The following is an 18,991-nucleotide window of genomic DNA, read 5'->3' as shown; positions in this document are numbered from 1 at the left end:
CTTGGCATTCTCACACATCCCAAATTCTTGGTAAAGCCACACTAGCCAGCGTGCATACCTTGATTCATAAACCCATATGGGGCTGGAGGGTTAGGGATTGGAGAGGGGCAGATGACTTTGCATTATTTTAAATTAAGGTTCCAAACCATCCTATTGCCTTCTTTCTTTCAGTTGATCTTTTTGTTTTTAATTTTTTATTTTCATTTCATTGTTTGTAGAGACAGGGTCTCCCTATGTTGCCCAGGCTGGTTTCAAAGGCCTGGCCTTAAGCAGTCCTCCTGCCTCAGCCCCTCAAAGTGCTAGAATTACAGGCATGAGCCACTCACTGTTCCCAGCCTCTTTCACCTGATCTTATCAAAAGTTTTAAGTGCACAAACCCTTCCATATCTTTTCTTATCTTCCGCCAACTCCAGAGTAAGACATGAGATAACATCATTTTGTCTAACTGCATTATTTCCAGAATCCTGTATCAGAAAGGAATTCTCCCTTTATTTAATTGAGTTTAGTTTTGTTGTCTGTAAAACAGGGATAATAAAACCTGCTTTATAGAATTAATGAGATGGCAGAGAAAGAGATTTTGGAGAGTGAGAGTTCAGAACTGTTTAGAGTTGGATAAATTTTTTGAGATAGGGCTGCTTTCTCTCATCCAAAAACTCAGAAACTAAATAGATGCAAATGCTGTAACAAGAGACACTGATATATGTAAAGCACTTGGCATTGCTCTTGTCACACAGGAGCCCTCTGTAATATCAGTATGAGTATCACTGTTGTTATTACAATCACTGTTATTTCTACTGCTGCTTCTAATGCCATGACTTCAAACAGTACTATGATGGGTGTTTTTTTAGGTCTTTGTTTCACTGAACCAAATTCTGCTTACAAGCAAGCTCTTTCTCTCCAGGGATGCTTTTTCCCAGAATATAAGATATATTTTAGTTTCTAATCCTGGGACACTACCTGGCTTCTCTTCCTCTTTTCAACACTCTTCTTTTTGCAGTAGTTTCTGGGAATGGTAACCACAGTAGCGGACCCAGTGCTTAGTCCTGTTTCTTTATTGACATCAAAGTTTTCACATGGTGTAGTTACTTGCATTTTCTTTTATGAATTGCAGTGCCGGTGGCAGATATCAAAGCCGTGGTGACGGGAAAGGACTGCCCTCATATGAAAGAGAAAGGTGCCCTTAAACAAAACAAGGTATGATTTCCAAATTATTGCAAATAGCTCTATTTGCCCAGTGCGGTCGGCAACTGCAGCCAGCCTAGCCCTCCTTTATAGCAGTGTTCGTGTGTGTGCGTGTGTTCAGACACACATCTCTTATTCAGCTCTCCTGTTTCCTGTCCCGATTCCTTTTACGTCTCTTACCCTTATTCTTTCTCTTTCTGACCCCTTTTCTGATGCTCACCATCTTTTCCATTCTCTCACTTCCTGCCTACTTCCAACCCTAAGAATTGCCCTCACTATTGTCACTTTGTCCTCTCTTGAGCCCGCTCTGCTCATCCGTCCATTCCCTGGGCCTCTCCTAACCTCCCCCATTTATGTTTATTTCTCCCTTCTCCAACTTCCACCCCAATATCTTTCATTGTCTTCTGCTGTAATCATGCTCTTAATATCCTCCCCGGGATCTCAGCGAAGCCTGGGACAGGCAGAGAGCAGCTGACTCAAAGAATCTTAGAAAACTTTAAAGGCCTGATACCCTTCAGCATTGTGGAAAGTAGGCTGTGAAATATCTCCAACTCAGACTAAAGGAGAAAATTTTCCCAGAAGTGTGTATTACTTAAGCCCTGCAATACCTTTCACCATCCCCTCCTAGTTTACCAACCATTCCATTATCATTCCATTACAGAGGGCACAGGAGGGAATATTATTTGAAAAGACAGAAGAATTTCTTTTGCCCGCTGGAAGTATTTGCCCTTGGAGAGGCCGTCAGGGAGCCAGTGCTTTGTTTATGCCTCTTAGAATCTTGTGATCTATACCATTCATGAACAAAAGTATCCAGATTATCTGGAGCACCCAGAAAATCTGGTACCAAAAATGTCACATAGATCAATAGGTTGCATCTTTATTTCCAGTGTCAGTATCTAAGAGGGACACCAAAATGATACACAATCTATTTACCAATCAGCGTTAAAATAAATAGTTTCCACTGTGTAATTTCTATTGTTATAAGACAGGGAATCCAGTTCTTTGCAGGATGGCCCTATCTATAGTTAAGGAAAAACAAAAGTACTATGAAAATACTGTTCAGGAAGGCAGAGGGCAGGGGATGCAGCTGAAGAGGCTGATTGTAAGATCTTTCCTTCTTAAGTTCTATAACTCACCTCAGCTCCATGGGAACTCCTTTGTTGAGCCCATCACAGCATTGTCATGTAATGCATTTGATTGGCAAGCATACTGATGGCAGGGCATGCCCAAGAGGCCAGGATCTGTGGTCTATCTGTTACACAGCACCAACGGGGGTTTCCGTTTATCTCTTCTCCATGCTATGGGGAGACAGAGATTCTATAGCTCAGCAGATTAGAGAAGCATCCTTAGCTATAGCAGCAAATCTCCAGTTTTCATGGTTTGCCTCCTGTGGAGCAGACTTTCTTCAACACTAGCCGGGATTACCATATGCTGCACATGTCAGGTATTCTCTCCACAATCTCGGAGAGCACGGGCTCTGCTCAGCTTCAGCCGAGGAGGTCCCCACAGTTACGTAACACTTGGGGCTGAGCTGGAAACAGTGTGGAGAAATTGGCAATAATAGGGGTCTGGGAGTCTGCAACCCAGAGAAGACCAGGAAGGGTGTACCTGGAAAAATAGCAACCTGCCAGAATTCAAGTGTGCTAAATAAAGATAGAGGGAATTATGTAAAATAGGTGTGGAGGGACTTCCTGTTTCAGCCCCAACATATAAAGAGCTTGAGAGTTGTGCTCCCATCCTCAGAATAAGGAGAAGCGGGCAGGGTGTGGTGGCTCGCGCCTGTAATCCCAGCACTTTGGAAGGCCAAGGCGGGCGGATCACAAGGTCAGGAGTTCGAGACCAGCAGCCTGGCCAACATAGTGAAACCTCGTCTGTACTAAAAATACAAAAAATTAGCCAGGCCTGGTGGCAGGCACCTGTAGTCCCAGCTGCTTGGGAGGCTGAGGCAGGAGAATCACTTGAACCCAGGAGGTGGAGGTTGCGATGAGCCGAGATCATGTCACTGCACTCCAGCCTGAGCAACAAGAGTGAAACTCTGTCTCAAAAAAAAAAAAAAGAAGAAGAAGAAGAAGAAGAAGCAGAACAAAGCGGAAATCAACAAGTTTTCTTGGACCTATCCTAGAACTGAGGTTGCAGGCAAACCATCACCGTGGAATGTGGAAAGTCAGATGTCCAAGAAGACATAATAATCCTTAACATGTCTGAACTTAACATGAAGATATCAAAATCCATGAGTTATGAAACTGATAGAACAGAAAGGAGAAATAAACAAATTCATTATTATTAATATATTGGAGACTTCAACTTCCCTTGGTCAGTAATCAGTAGACCAAGCAGGCAGAAGATCAAGAATATTGATGACCTGAACAGCACCATAAATCAGCTTGATCTAATTGACATTAATAGACTAATCCACTCAGCAACGGCAGAATACACATCCTTCACAAGCTCAAAGGAAACATTCACCAAGATAGACCACATTTTGGACCGTAAAGCATGTCTTAAAAAATTTAAAGAATAGCAGTTAGACAAAGTATGTTCTCAAATCACAATGGAATTAAACTAGAAATCAGCAGCAGAAAGACAGCTGGAAAATCCCCCAAATGTTTGGAAATTTAACAACACACTTGTAAATAACCCACAGTTCCAGGAAGAATTCCCAAGAGAAATTACAAAATGTTTCAAACTAAATAAAATGAAAATCCAGCTTACCAAAATGTGTGGGATGCAGTGAAGGCAGTGCTTAGAGGGAAATTTATAGCATTGAATGACTACATTAGAAAAGAAGAAAGAACGAAAATCAATAAAGCTTCCACCTCAGGACACTAAGGAAGGAGAGCAATTTAAGCTTAAAGCAAGCAGAAGAAAAGAAATATAAAATTTAGAGTAGAAATCAATGAAACTGAAATCAGTAGAGAAAATCAACAAAACCAAAAGCTGGTACTTTGAAAAGATGAATAAAATTGATAAACTTCTAGCCTGGCTAACCAAGAAAAAAATGAGAGTCACCCATATAACAGATGTGGAGATGATTTCATTTGAACATGTGAGGTAGTATATTTGGCCTTGTATCAGACTCCTCTCTCCTTAAAGGAGACTAAAAAAGTAAAACCGAGTAAATGATGTTTTGCAACCTTTATTTTTCACATATTGTCATGACACTCATAAAACATAGGATGGATGATGATGGATAGATGGATGATGGATGGACAGCTGGAGAATGATGGATGGATGGAGTACGCCACTGTAAACAGATAAGACTGCAAATAGAGGCTACTTCCTGGGACTCACTGGCCCGTATTTCTAGCTACCCTGGGCTCTTCCAGTCTGCCATGAGGGATAAGACTAGCAGAATTTCAAGCAGCCTGGCCCTTTAATTAGCATATACATGGAATTTACTTGTCTTGCAATGTTACTAGTGTTCATATATACCATGTCATCAAGCAAAACATCAAAAGGCAGAAGGAAAGCCACGATTTTACCTGCTGAACCCCCCAACCCACACCCCTTTCCCCGTACTCCAGAGGTGCCCTCCTGTCTACCTCTGGGACTTCTGGGTAGGAAAAGGGGACCTGCAGCCTAAAAGGAGAATTGACCAGAATGTGTTCATAAGAGGTCTGTCAGTACACAGTGGATGGATGACAACCAAGGCAAATTGCTGGCTCTTTGGACAGTTTTTCCAGCTGTGGAACAGCTTTTGACATTTTGTGCCATGAGACCCATGGTTAACTTAATCACCGAGCAAGGCAAACTGAGACATTGGCATCTGTAAAAGAGATACTTTGTTAATGGCAGAGTGTTGATAACTGATCATCCTCTCACCCATTCGGTCTCTGCTGATGTTCCCAGCAGGGCCCTGAGAACAGAAAGAAGAAAATTGGTCCTTTCCCTTGAGGTGTCTATTGCAGAGGCATTTGTTCATGTAGTCAGTCATCCACTCAGTCAGCATGGGAGTGCCTGAAATAGCACAGGACTAAATGGGGTAGCTGGGGTCCTGTCTTTCTGGAGCTTAGAGTCTGTTATGTTTAACAGAGTTCAGTGCAGCAGGCACATTTTTACGGAGACAAGAAATGGTGGGTTCTTCACACAGGGATCAGAAAGTTTCTCATTGAGACTTGAAAAGAATTGCCATGAGTAGATGGAAATTCAGTTGGAAGGTTTTGATTTGCAAGGATTAAGGATTCTAAATTCAAACTCTATAATTTATAAAAATAAGCTGATTTGTGGCTGTGTGCTTTAAGGTGGGCATTCTTGGTGCTTGTCTCACTGAATTTGGGGCTTTTAGGTCAACAGTCAACATGAAATCACCAGAGTGAAGATCCATTGATTCAGATAGGAGTATATTTGGTGTATGAGAAGCTTCCATCTTCCCATTTGCCAGAATTAAGCATTTGTTTTTCCAGTGTGATGCTTAAACCTGAAATAGGAAGCATATTCTACTGAAGCTGATGTTCTAGCATCAGTTTGAAAACCCTGGTCTTAGCCAAAAAGTCCTTTATTCACATTTACTTCATTCATCATCCATTCATTCATTCATTCAGCAATGTATTGAGCATCTCCTTTGTCCTAGGTGCCAGGAATCCAAAGATAAATATGACCTGGCCCCTGGCCCTAGGTGTCCAGTAGATAACATTTATATTTAAATATGCAATTACAATTCAATATGTCTATGCCAAAAAAAATTAAACATGGAGCCTGGGAGAGTTGAGAAAGGTGATGCAGGACATGGCATCTGATCTAGCTTTTGAAAAGGAATTGGCCAGGCAGAGAATGAGGAGAAGACTTTCCAAAAGGAGGAAAAAGTCTGAAAAGGCACAAGGGCCTTTGCTCATGTGAAAAGCATCCTCTAATTGGGAATGTTGAATTCAGAGTATAGGATGGATGGGGATGGGGAGAAGAATATGGATTGGAGAACTATTGGCCGGTTACGCTGCTAAGATAGATTGGGGCTGGAGAGTTGTAACTGCCTGAAGAAGGTAATCTCTGTTATGTACTACATGAATGAGTGTTTTTTGCCTTCTAAAATAGAAACTCAAATTCTTAGATATCTGGACAGCAATAAGCTATAGTTCTGAAATCTACTGCTATTTCTGTGACCATAATTTAACACCCACACACATGCCGAGTTATATCCTGTGTCTTTTATCAAAAGGTTTTACCCTCATGATGACCTGGATAGATAGAGAACCAACATAGTTAAGTGAATGCTAGCAAAATGGCCATATGTGGTGAGTTACCGTCAAACAATGTAAGGATTGGCAGCCAACACTGCACACTGAAAATATGTTGCATACAACTCTACTCTTGTTATCAGTCGGTTCCTCATTTGACCCATGGAAGATGGCAGTCCCCAAACCCAGGAACCATTTTCCTGAGCATCTGCTGACACAGCGTGCCTTGTCTTCTGTCCCAGGGCCAGAGTGTTGAATACAAAGGTCAGGGGCCTCAGGGCATGGAAGGATGTTCACTTTCCTCTGCCTCCACTCTCCCTAGGACTCAGGCTTCCTCCACATGACAAGGTGGCAAGCAGGCATCAGTGCAGCAGAGAATGGAGAGAAGCTGCTTCTAGATGTAATTTTTCACTGCACTAAATCCAGAGGAATAAAAGAGCTTCGGTCATGAGCAACAAAGCCCCTGAACATTCGATGTCTAAGTGAGTGTTGTGGTGTGTGGAGGCAAGTAGGCCCTGAGGGGGGCACAGATCAGTGACAGTCTACTCCACCACCACCTGGCGCCTTCTCCCTCATGGACAGTGTGGACAGGTGGCAGTTTCTGGAGTATTAGCCTGAGAGGTGCTATTGCTCCTGGCTCTGCAGCCTCCCCGCTCCAAGTGCTGAAGAGCTGACCTTCACCAATGACTCAACAACAGCAAGCCAGAGACATCAATAAAACCCATTACAAGCGATAACACCCTTTAACACAGACATGCAGCTCAGAGAATTAATTCCTCCCACCCCCTCCCAGGCAGCTTTGGTGAAATTAAAGTGGGAATTGACATTCTCACGAATTTCCCATTTCCTGCCTGTGTTTATCAGGAATCTAGGTCATGACAGTTCTGATCATTCATGTCGTGAGTGGTATATGTCATAGAAGGGCAAAGCTGAAAGTTTGCCTGCTCCTTTTCCTTCCTTCTCCATCCCCCTGCAGAAGAGAAAGTATCACAGCAATAACCACGCTGACACTGTGGTCTCAAGTGACTTCAGCACCCTGTCCGGAGCACATCTGGGCTGCAGTGCTGTTCACACCGGCTCTTGTCAGCAAGGGGTGATCAGCCACGTGATTTCCCTGAGCAGTCAGGCACTTGTCACCCAGGGTCAGCCCAAAGGGGCCTGGATGAACTTTACCTTTTCCTGTTTACCTCCAAGGGCCCCCTCACGCCACTGTAATATCCTGACTGGTTGTTCAGAAGCAAAGCTCACTCCCTCCTTTTTCTTTCTTCAATCTCTCAAGCATGAGTCAGAGAGTTTTCCTAATAAATGACTCTAAGATTAGTAAAGAAATCATCATTTTAATGAACATGCCAAATCTGAGTACAATTTGTATGAATTTTTGAAATTATAGCTTAGCATTTTGTTGAAAAAAAAGTTGTAAGAAGAGATAATGACCTATGACCTATCACCTTACCATAATTATTTTCATTTCCCATATTTCTTTCCAGTCTCTGTCCACAAGTAGGAATTGTTCATAATTGTGATCAGTGTGTACATGGTGTTCATGTCTCGTGCTTTTCTCCACTTAACTTTGGCTCCCTATAATTATCTTACTGAATGGCCAAATACATTTCCCTTGGTGGCTAATTTATGATTTCTTTATTACCCAAAAGAGGGAGAGGTTAGTTTCTCATAATGTTCTTTCAGATAATAATATTTGGCTTTTGCTTTCTTTTGAATTTTTCTTTTGAAATTATCTCAGGCATAGCATCTCTGGTTCTTGATATGTATTTTCATATTGATTTTTTTTTAAAAAGAATGATATGAATTTATAGTACTAATAGTAAGTCTGTGACTATTTTAATTGTAAATTAAAAGGCCCAAGAGAGATGGTTATGGGAACAGATGCTATACTTAATGGCAAATTGTTTTTGTTTGTTTGCTTGTTTCGGCGCCCTTCCTTTTTACATTATTGTCTTTACTGGGTAGGCCTGAGTCAGGGCCTAAAGAAGAATAGAAAATGAGGAGAGCATTTTTGCAGAATAGCTCCCATTCCACGACTCAGCATTCTTTCCTTCGCTTGTTTCTATTTCTGTCAAGGTGAGGAGACCTTTTGAGTGTGAGACGCTGGTAGATCTATCCTCAGAACAAGACCTGCCCCCTCTCAATGAGGGACAGCTGGAGGTGAACCAGACACTGAGAACTCCATGAGAGCCAGAAATAGTTAGATGATGGACTGTGTCAGGACAGGGATGCAGCCACTTTGGAATAATTCTTTAATCCGTCTGAAATTCTGAAATCTGTAGGCACTGACCTCATCTTTTTGCCTTTTATCTTTCTGGGGCATTTTTGCTGTGAGTCACAGGCCAAAGACAAACCCTCTAACAGATATTAAGGTAGAGAATGATGTGAAGAGATTGGCTCCCTAAGAAAGAATGTTTTGTGGGCAATTACTGAGCAGTGTGGCTCACAGATCACAGGAGGGGAGAGGGATGGTCATCACTGGTGCCTAATAGAAGCACAGAGAAGGAAGGCACACTGGAACCTCCATGCTGGAACAGTGTAGAGCGTTGGTTTGGATACACTTGGCTCTTCTCTTCCAGACTAGGAGTCCTCAGGATGCTGAGAAGAGCTGATGACTCTCATCTTCTGCTGACCGCTCAGACCACTAGAATGATCGTCTTACCCAGTATTGGTACAGCATGTACAGTTTGAGAAGTGTGGCTTAATGTACATATTAGACATGGCACTGAGTGCCTTGGTCATTGGTCATTCACCTGCAATGAAATGAAAAATGTCACTTGGTTCCTAGACTTCTGGGCCTGGCTCATTGCGTGCACTCCGTAGGTTTTCACCAATGAGTAAGCCCGTGCTTCTCGATTATACCTTGCAGTCTCTGCTGGGTAAGACCTAAGCTTTGTGTAGCCTTTGCTGTACAGTAGCTTAAAGGTCAAAGGACAGATATAAAGATAATGGGTTCACCTAGCAGCCTCCTTAAAGCTGGCATAGCGTCCACATTTTAGGGAATTCATACCTCTGTGGGCCTCTCTGTCTTTCTTAGGATGATAGAAGGAAGGGCAGTCCTTAATCCTGTTGATTGGGAGTTTACTGGGTTTTTGTTTGTTTGTTTGTTTGTTTGTTTTTGTGGCCTCTCTGGAAGGGAGATGCTGAAGAAAGGAGAATAACACAGTTTTGGTGGCGGGCGAGGAGGCAGGCGGTGCTGTCACCTTGGACACTCATTGAGCCTCTCTAAGCCCCACCTCATAAAGGAGATGAAAACACTTGCTACATGGGCTGCATGCGAATTAAATGAGATAGTTCACAGACCGCCGTGAATGGAGAGAAGGAATCATGCCGTGAACCTTGAAGAGCATGGTTCCTCCTTCCATCAGCCTCATTGCAGCTCCGCTTGGCTAGACAAGCTGGCCCTATGCCATGGTCAATGTGCAGCCATTTGCAACTGCAAAATGAAATGTGCCGATTTTCCTTAAGGTGCTGTTTTCTCTCATCTCTTGTAGGAGGTGCTTGAACTCGCTTTCTCCATCTTGTATGACTCAAACTGCCAACTGAACTTCATCGCTCCTGACAAGCATGAGGTAAGGGTCTCGGGGGTGATAATTTATGAGATAATGTTATCTTTTCTCAAGAAAAATATAGAAAGAAATTTTACTTAAGAAAAATAGACCTGCCTGAAAAAATGATGAACCAAGGGGCATCTTGCTGACTTGGAGGAGAATAGAAACCTCTTGACAAACTGCCCGTTGCAACAGATTCAACTTCTTAGTAGCTTGATTGATAGTTCATGGTAAAGAAAAAGGATGTAAAAGGCCTCAAATGCAGCAAAGGTATACTTGTTAATCCAGAGAAAGAAGCGGCCCTGGTTACAGCTTTGGTTTTCATTGAATTTTTCGTTTTTGGTCTGGATTTTCCCAAGATAAACTGGTCTCTCTTCTTTAAAACATCTGAGGAAGTAGGTTTTCTACCAAATTTCTTTAAGCTATTTTAAGAGGTTTAGGGCTGTCTCTGCTGTTGGGATTTTATTTTCGAGATGCTTTTATTCCTTTCTGACATCTTGTTATATGTATAATTTGTTTCTCTTCTTGTAGCACGCTGTCAGCTATATTTAAAATATTTAGCATAAATCTAGGAAAATGCATTTGTAAGATAAAGTAGCAGTTATGGCTGATTTAACTTTCTTTTATAAACTGGAACCCAACATCATGCTTGAAACTTTTATTTTTAGATGATACCATTCAAATTTTTGTTTTGCGTGTGGTTGCATAAACAGCTTTAGAAAGGAAGAGAACATTTTAATAGAATCTGACTTTTGTTCCCCATTTCCCCTAGGACATTTAGCTCATTTAGAAGTTATTCAGTATCTAGTTTTCACTGGTTTGAAGCTTTTGAATAAAATTGTATATCCCAAAGAGAGAGGAAAGATTAGACACAAATCCTGCATTTAGAACGGTGCTTAAATATAATTCTGTGTCACTTGACATTTAGTTTGCTGAAGGGTAAGACTTTGTCTTCATCTTTCTGAAAATAGATACTGTGTTCTACTGTTTCTGTTTTTAAATAAAATTGTGGTTCTACACAGGCCACCATATTCAAGATGTATAGAGCTGTGTACAAAACTACTTAAAATAGTAGAACTTTGGATGTTATTTAAATCTCTGCAAGGCTGTTTTCCCCAGTGTACATTAATTCCAGATCAGGATAAATGCTCTGGGACTGCCAGATTTTTATTCATATCTGCCACTTCTTATAGATACAATGAAGAGAAAAATGCCATATGCTTGTGAACACTTTTAATTACTTCAGACCACTTTCCTTCTATTACCTCATTTTATTTCCATAATTATTCCATACAATAGAAAGTTCTATTACAGACATTCTCATTTATCAAATGAGCACGGAGAGACCTCCCAGAACTGAATACCTCAACAATAGAAAGGTTAACACAGTTGGCCCTTGAATAGCATGGGGGTTATGGGCACCAAACCCCCCACACAGTTGAAAATCTGCCCATAACTTTTGACTCCCCAAAAACTTAACTGTCAGTAGCCTACTGTTGACCAGAAAGAAGCCTTCCCCATAGCATAAGCAGTTGATTCACACACATTTTGTATGTTATGTGGATTTTATACTGTATTCTTCCAATAAGGTAAGCTAGGGAAAAGAAAATGTTAAGAAAGTCATAAGGAAGAGAAAATATGTTTACTATTCATTAAGTGGAAGAGGATCATCATAAAAGTCTTCATCCTCATTGTCTTCACATTGAGTAGGATGAGGGAGAAGGAAGAGGACGGGTTGGTCTTGAGGTCTCAGGGGTGGCAGAGGCTAGAGAGGTGGAAGAGGTGGAAGGGGAAGCAGGAGAGACAGGCACACTTGGTATAAGTTTTATTGAAGAAAAAAATCCATGTATAAGTGACCCACACAGTTAAAACCCATGTTGTTCAAGGGTCAACTGTAAGTATAACGACCCTGGCTTACTCTCTGCCAGGCACCATTAATGCTTTATATGTATATTTCACCCCAGTTAACCCTCATATAACTCTAAAAGAATCCCCATTTAAAAGAGGGAAATGAGGCAAGAGAGCTTAAGAAACGTGTCCAGGGTCACACAAGTAGTAAGAGGACAGAGCTGGAATTTAAACACTGGCAGTCTTGCTCCAGAAGCCCTACACTTAACCCCTGCACTGTGGAGCTAGGAAGAGAAAGAGCAGACACTGAGCTCGCACATTCCTGGCAGGCCCATCACTCAGTTTCTACAATCACCAACTCATGGCCAATCTGGTTCACCTGTGCTCCCATCCACTCTTCCACCATCACCCAGCTGCCACCCCTGATTATTTTGAAGCAAATCTGGATATCATTTTATGTATAAATGTTCCTGTATGCATTTCCCAACAATAAAGACTCAATTTAAAACCATAACTGCAATACCCTGATCACACTTAAATAAATTAATAATGTGGTATTTATTTATTAAACCATGTGCAGTCAGTTTTCAGATGTCTCTAATTGTCTCATTTGTGTTTTTTTCTTTCATACTTTGTTCAAGTCAGAATGCAAATAAGATCCATGCATTGCAGTTGGTTGACATGTTTCCTAGGTTTCTCTGAATCTACAGGTTTCTCTTTCTCTCTCTCTGTCTCTCACAATCATGAGCATGTGCCTTTTTTCCTTGAAATTTATTTATTGGGAAAAACAGGTCATTAGACCTGTAATGTTAATAGTCTAGACTGTGCTGGTTATAACTTTATGTATTAGCTTACTGTTGCTATTGTAACAAACTGCCACAAACTTAGTGTTAAAGAACACAAATTTATTATCTTCGAATTCTGGACTTCAGAAGTCAAATGTGAGTATCCTGGGCTAAAATCAAGGTATCAGCAGGGCTGTGTTCCTTTCTGGAGGCTCTAGGGAAGAATTTTCCCTTGTCTTTTTCACTCAAGAGTCCACCTGCACTCCTTGGCCTCCATCCATTGCAATGGCTGGTTGAACCTTTTCATCACCTCACTTCAGCCTCCTCTTTCGTACTCAGATCTCCCTCTACCTCTCACTTCTCTGACTCTGACTCTGACTCTTCTTCTGTTTCCTTCTCTCACTTTTAAGGACCTTTGGGATTACATTGGGCCTGCCTGGATAATCCAAGATAATCTCTGTTTTAAGGTCAGCGGATAGCAACCTTAAGTCCCTTTTCCATGGAACCTGACATATTCACAGGATCCAGGGAGTAGGATGTGGGTGTCTTTGGAAGGCGGGTATTATTTTTCCCACCGCAATCTGCAATATAATTCATATATTCATCGGTCCCCTGTATGTCTTGTGAATTGTAGTTAAAGGATTAATCAAATTCAGGCTCCCTTTCTAAGCAGCAGCAGTGGTGTTTGTACTTTCATGGTGACTTCTTGCTCCCCTTTCTTGGATATTAGCAGCCAACAATGATCGTTGTCTGGATCCTTGGAACCATTAGAGGTTGCAAAAGGTTGATATCCTAATTTTATTATTCCTTCTTTATTAAAGGGATATATAAAGAGAAACTGGCCTCATCAACTATTTGGTTATCCTAAAGTTATACAATTTACATATGGTAGGCAGGATAAATACTTGATTCTCTTTACCAGTTTTCAAAATAGTAAGCATCTTTCAAAGAAGAACAATGAGGCATTTGGGGGCAGGGGTTGAGTAGGAAATCATGCTTTTAAACAGAATTGTGTCTCAATATGTTGCAGTTACTGTCGTTATTAGTTTCTAAGTTATCCTGTCTGGAACAAGTAGGAACACCATTGGGTTGGCATCTGAGTCCTATTGGGAGGACCCCTTACGTCTTTGATAACTTTCTGGCATTCTGGTATGATGGAGTGTTCCAGGTTTATCTTTATGTTTCCTGCCTTTTCTCTGTGAAGCCTTGATTACTTGTAGTGGGAAATGATATTTAGTGACCAGAATCTAAGCATGAGTTGTGTTTATGGTCATTGCACACCACGATGCAGTGGTTCTTGGTTGGTCATTATTTTTTAGCCCTTTTTGGGGACAGAGCTAGGTGGTTTTCTTTTAAGATAAACTAATGAATTGATACTGATAGTTCCAACTCAAATTCAGTATCAGTACTACAGGGTTTTTATTTATTGGTCGATGTACTTTCACATAAAATTTTCTGTGCCTGTTGTTTCTAAAAAGAAACGTGCTGCAGAAGTGTTCCTGTGGGTTAAACTAATCTATACTAGGAAGCTAGCCAGGCCTGGGAAGGCTGTGTGAAAAGAACAGTAATCCCCAGGACTTGGGGATTTACCATGAAACAGCATGAAAGCTGGAAGGGGCCTTTGAGAATGTAGAGTTCAGTGGCACCCGTACCTGCGTGTTCGTTAGAGTTTTCTAGGAAGCAAAGTCTCCTCACCCTAGATCTACATGATCAGGATCTCCAAGGTAGGAGCTAGGTGTCTACTTCTGTCAAGGTTATTTATGAAGAAATTGATGGTTAGACATGTTCAGAATCAGATCATGAGGACACTAATTCTTCCGGAAATCCCTTAACACTAAATTGATGTTTCGATGGGTTAAATGCTTTGGCTGAGATCACATAGCCAAGGTAGAACCAAAGCCCTCCAAATCAATGCTGCCCTCCTGAAACACAGATCTCATAATACACCCATTGTGCATCTCCTCAGCTTAAAAAGGAGGACCGCTGATGTGCATCACGGAAGATTTCCATCACATCATGGTGACTGGAGATTTATATAGTGCTTGCAGTATACTTTGGTTACTTTTACGTTGAGATCTGCTACCATGGAATACAGTCCAGATAACCACAGTGCCAAAGTAGGTTAAAGAGGGTCTGGAATTGCCGCTTGAACTAGTGAGGCAGAAAAGTTGGGAATCTGGAGTGCATGGTAGAAGGAAGACCACTTCAACAGAAGAGGAGAACAATTGCTGTTATAGAATCCTATATAGGACTACTAGAAACCTAAACTCCAGTGCATGAGTGGAGCCCAGCATCCAGAATGCCAAGCAGCTTTCTGAGATGCTGGCATCAGGGGTGCCTCTTTCACCAGGTGTCATGGTTCTCTGTCCATGTCAGTACAGAACTCCAGCCTCTGGGAGGGGAAGCTAAGAAGAGAAAAGCAGGTCCTCAGACAAGGCACAGTTCTTCCTTCTCCCTCACAGAGATCATAGTCTCCTGGAGAGACAAAAGGCTATGAAAGGAGAAGAATCAGACTCTTAGTTGGGTACTGTGAAGGGCTTTCCAAAACAGATAATATCCCCAAGTATGAGGCCCCAGAGACCTGGTGAAAAGAAACCTTAGGAACTAGAGACAAAGGCTAAAGAGGTCCCCAGACAGGCAGCCAACCCTCCTCCCATTAAGATTGCCCAATAATTTTAACCATTTTGGCTGCCAGACACTGGGCAGCATAAGCCTATTTCCTAGCCCTTTAGCTGAGAAACACCAAGGTGGGACTGCCATTGGCCATTGGCTCCAGGGTGGGACAGGGCTGTCATTGTGAATGCTAGGATCAGACAGGACAGGCCGAGATGAGCTACTAGACTAGGAGCCATGACTGGAGTCAGCAAAGAAACCTGCTTCACCTGATGTTGAGTCCAGGGCTGTTCGGTAGATTCCACCAGTACCTAAAAGTCATAGACTCCCACCTAGGTGTTACATTGCAAGTCATGGAGAACTCCAATCCTCAGCTGTTACAGAGAAGCATTCTTTGCAAAGAAGAGCACAGGCACTGGAGTCAGATTGCCTGGGTTCAAATCCCACCCGGTCTACATAATACTGAGTCACTTCTCTGTACCTCAGTTCCTTCACCTATAAAACAGAGATAACAGAAGTATCGACTTTATATTGAGATGTCGCCAAATATGAAATGACGAAGTAGGCAGAGCCCTTAGCGCACAGCCTACTGAGGGATGAGTATTCACTGTTAGCTATTTTTACTATTAATACTTCTGTAATTGCCACCAGTAATGATCGCTGTTGCCTCCCTTCCTGCCAGTACTGTATCTGGACGGATGGACTGAATGCGCTACTCGGGAAGGACATGATGAGCGACCTGACGCGGAATGACCTGGACACCCTGCTCAGCATGGAAATCAAGCTCCGCCTCCTGGACCTGGAAAACATCCAGATCCCTGACGCACCTCCGCCGATTCCCAAGGAGCCCAGCAACTATGACTTCGTCTATGACTGTAACTGAAGTGGCCGGGCCCAGACATGCCCCTTCCAAAACTGGAACACCTAGCTAACAGGAGAGAGGAATGAAAACACACCCACGCCTTGGAACCGTCCTTTGGTAAAGGGAAGCTGTGGGTCCACATTCCCTTCAGCATCACCTCTAGCCCTGGCAACTTTCAGCCCCTAGCTGGCATCTTGCTCACCGCCCTGATTCTGTTCCTCGGCTCCACTGCTTCAGGTCACTTCCCATGGCTGCAGTCCACTGGTGGGACAAGAGCAAAGCCCACTGCCAGTAAGAAGGCCAAAGGGCCCTTCCATCCTAGCCCTCTGCAGGCATGCCCTTCCTTCCCTTGGGCAGGAAAGCCAGCAGCCCCAGACTGCCCAAAAACTTGCCCACCAGACCAAGGGCAGTGCCCCAAGGCCCCTGTCTGGAGGAAATGGCCTAGCTATTTGATGAGAAGACCAAACCCCACATCCTCCTTTCCCCTCTCTCTAGAATCATCTCGCACCACCAGTTACACTTGAATTAAGATCTGCGCTCAAATCTCCTCCCACCTCTCTCCCTGCTTTTGCCTTGCTCTGTTCCTCTTTGGTCCCAAGAGCAGCAGCCGCAGCCTCCTCGTGATCCTCCCTAGCATAAATTTCCCAAACAGTCCACAGGTCCCATGCCCACTTTGCGTCTGCACTGTGATCGTGACAAATCTTCCCTCCTCACCAGCTAGTCTGGGGTTTCCTCTCCCTGCCCCAGGCCAGAACTGCCTTCTTCATTTCCACCCACGCTCCCAGCCTCTTAGCTGAAAGCACAAATGGTGAAATCAGTAGTCTCGCTCCATCTCTAATAGACTAAACCTAAATGCCTCTAGGACGGACTGTTGCTATCCAAGCGTTTGGTGTTACCTTCTCCTGGGAGGTCCTGCTGCAACTCAAGTTCCACAGGATGGTCAAGCTGTCAGACATCCAAGTTTACATCATTGTAATTATTACTGGTATTTACAATTTGCAAGAGTTTTGGGTTAGTTTTTTTTTTTTTTTTTGCTTTGTTTTTGTACAAAAGAGTCTAACATTTTTTGCCAAACAGATATATATTTAATGAAAAGAAGAGATACATAAATGTGTGAATTTCCAGTTTTTTTTTAATTATTTTAATCCCAAACATCTTCCTGAAAATAACATTCCCTTAAACATGCTGTGGAATAAAATGGATTGTGATGATTTGGGGAGCTGGTGTTTTGATTTAGTAACTTAGGTTCTTGCTACTCAGTCATCAGCATCACCTGGGAGCTTGTTGGAGATGCCAGCTCTTCAGCTCCACCCTAGACCTGCTGAATTGGGTGATGTTTATGTACATTGGTTTGAAAAACACTGCTGTGGGAAACCCTCCACCATTGCTAGGTCACCATAGGCTCTGAGCATCAGTGGAGAATGTTACTTCTAAGAAGACCATCTCGACTCACTGAGAAAATCAGACCCACTGTATGAAAATATCTATTCCTTTTACATTGCTGTCTCTTGACCATGACTTTCTCTTTTTTCTTTCTTACCATGATATAATTTATAGAATGGGTCTAATTAAAGACATCACAACTTTGAGGGAGCACATTTAGCAATGAAAAGAATGCATACCCACAGACCTGAAATAAGCCAGAACTAAATAAATCTAACCGTGGGTTAATAAATTATAGGTCAGAGCCCAGCGAAGGATGTTTCTTAAGTCATTTGCACTGGAGGCATTATCAGGATTGTAAACTCCCAGCACTGGGAGGGATGTCAGAAGGGTCCAAGCATGCAGTATTAAGCGTGGCACAGCACCAGCCACTCTGGCCTCACAGCACAAGCTGTGGAAGCATCCAGGTCATTTCTCTTTACCGTCATCAGGATGTGCAATTACAGATTGACCTGGGTTGAGATGATATGGTCCAGAGCACTGCATGCATTGCAGGAAAAAAGTCCTTTGCATTCACAGGGGTTCCTTCTTCCCATCAGAGCACTCACACCTGTGTCAAGCTGTTAATTCCTTGATCATTAAGCTTCGATGTTATTAACATGTACTTGCTATCAGGAGCAGTTATTAATCTACCCATCATCATGATAAAACAGTAAGTGTTAGGTCAAAGGCAGCAAACAAAGTCATATTATTTTTTTCTTATGGGTTACAAGATCCAATCCATGAAAAAGGGAACTTTCTGGACCAGGATCTCTGAGGTCCTGAGACACTGGGTTTAAGAAATGTATCTGTCCTGTGACCTTGGTTGGGGAGATCCAGCCCCTCTCTCTTCTGGCACTCCAGCTTTGGTGCATTTAATAGAAAGAAACCTTTTCAGGACTATGAAAGGCAGCATTCTCCAGCTCCTCCCTAGACCCTCCTTTGGACCTGTGAGATCTGAAGAGTATGCCATCTGTTTCCATTCATTTTGTGACCATGTGGGGAAGGATTGTTGCCCATATTTGGCCACCTCACCTTCTCTCTCCAGGCTGCCCAAGGCTTTTTTTCCCATGCAATGAGCCTACCACCTCCAACTCATCTCCTGTTGCCTGCAGTTTCCTAAGCCTGGGCAACTCAGCCAAATCCAAGGCAGAAGTAAAGTAGGAAGACTGATGTTGTCGTGAAGTCCAAGTTGCATTCTGCTATTCATATTACTCAAAATAAAACTGATTACTTAATTTGAATCTGCTGATGTTTAAATTCCTCTCTTATTCTTGTTCAGAACACATAAGAGGAAGGAGAATTAACTGGCCTCTGAAACCTCTGTGACAACATTTAAGGGCAGGGAAAGCTAATAGTAATTGCAAAAGAAAAAGTGCAAGGCTGAATGTTTCTTGAGTCTATTTGCAAGTCCGTTCTAAGCCATCCTTCAGTTATCACCTACAGCATGTCCTGTCCACCTGCTTTTACAATGAACAAAGCAATGGGTGTCCCCAATGACATGCATACCAGTCATCCATTTTGTTTTAGTTATGAAAATACAATTAACACAAT

At 42.5% G+C, this 18,991-nt stretch overlaps 1 protein-coding gene across 15 annotated transcripts in view, besides 2 other annotated features; it reads left to right on the top strand.

Annotated features, from left to right (window-relative positions):
• Positions 1-18,681, top strand: part of ELMO1 (engulfment and cell motility 1) — a 596,421-nt gene extending 577,740 nt beyond the window's left edge. For 14 of the 15 annotated variants that reach the window (NR_038120.2, NM_001206480.2, XM_011515654.3 and 11 more), the window contains 3 exons: positions 1,112-1,194; positions 9,851-9,928; positions 15,836-18,681. Coding sequence is in view for 14 of the 15 variants with exons in the window: in NM_001206480.2 (NP_001193409.1) it covers positions 1,112-1,194; positions 9,851-9,928; positions 15,836-16,036 (362 nt within the window). In the remaining variant the exon portion in view is untranslated. Of the gene's footprint in view, positions 1-1,111; positions 1,195-9,850; positions 9,929-15,835 lie in introns of those variants that run through there. The other variant, XM_047421089.1, reaches the window with a different exon arrangement.
• Positions 2,065-2,619: an enhancer, noted in NCBI's record as "NANOG hESC enhancer chr7:36908573-36909127 (GRCh37/hg19 assembly coordinates)". NCBI's record gives its function as "activates a minimal SCP1, AML or CMV promoter by ChIP-STARR-seq in naive H9 embryonic stem cells {active_cell/tissue: H9 hESC(naive)}" and the evidence as "EXISTENCE:reporter gene assay evidence [ECO:0000049][PMID:30033119]".
• Positions 16,398-16,899: an enhancer, noted in NCBI's record as "H3K27ac hESC enhancer chr7:36894293-36894794 (GRCh37/hg19 assembly coordinates)". NCBI's record gives its function as "activates a minimal SCP1, AML or CMV promoter by ChIP-STARR-seq in naive H9 embryonic stem cells {active_cell/tissue: H9 hESC(naive)}" and the evidence as "EXISTENCE:reporter gene assay evidence [ECO:0000049][PMID:30033119]".
• Positions 18,682-18,991: the final 310 nt, after the last annotated feature.

The sequence above is a fragment of the Homo sapiens genome, chromosome 7 (assembly GCF_000001405.40).
Source record: "Homo sapiens chromosome 7, GRCh38.p14 Primary Assembly".
NCBI classification, from domain to species: Eukaryota; Metazoa; Chordata; class Mammalia; order Primates; family Hominidae; genus Homo; species Homo sapiens.
This window is presented reverse-complemented; position numbering and strand designations above follow the sequence as displayed.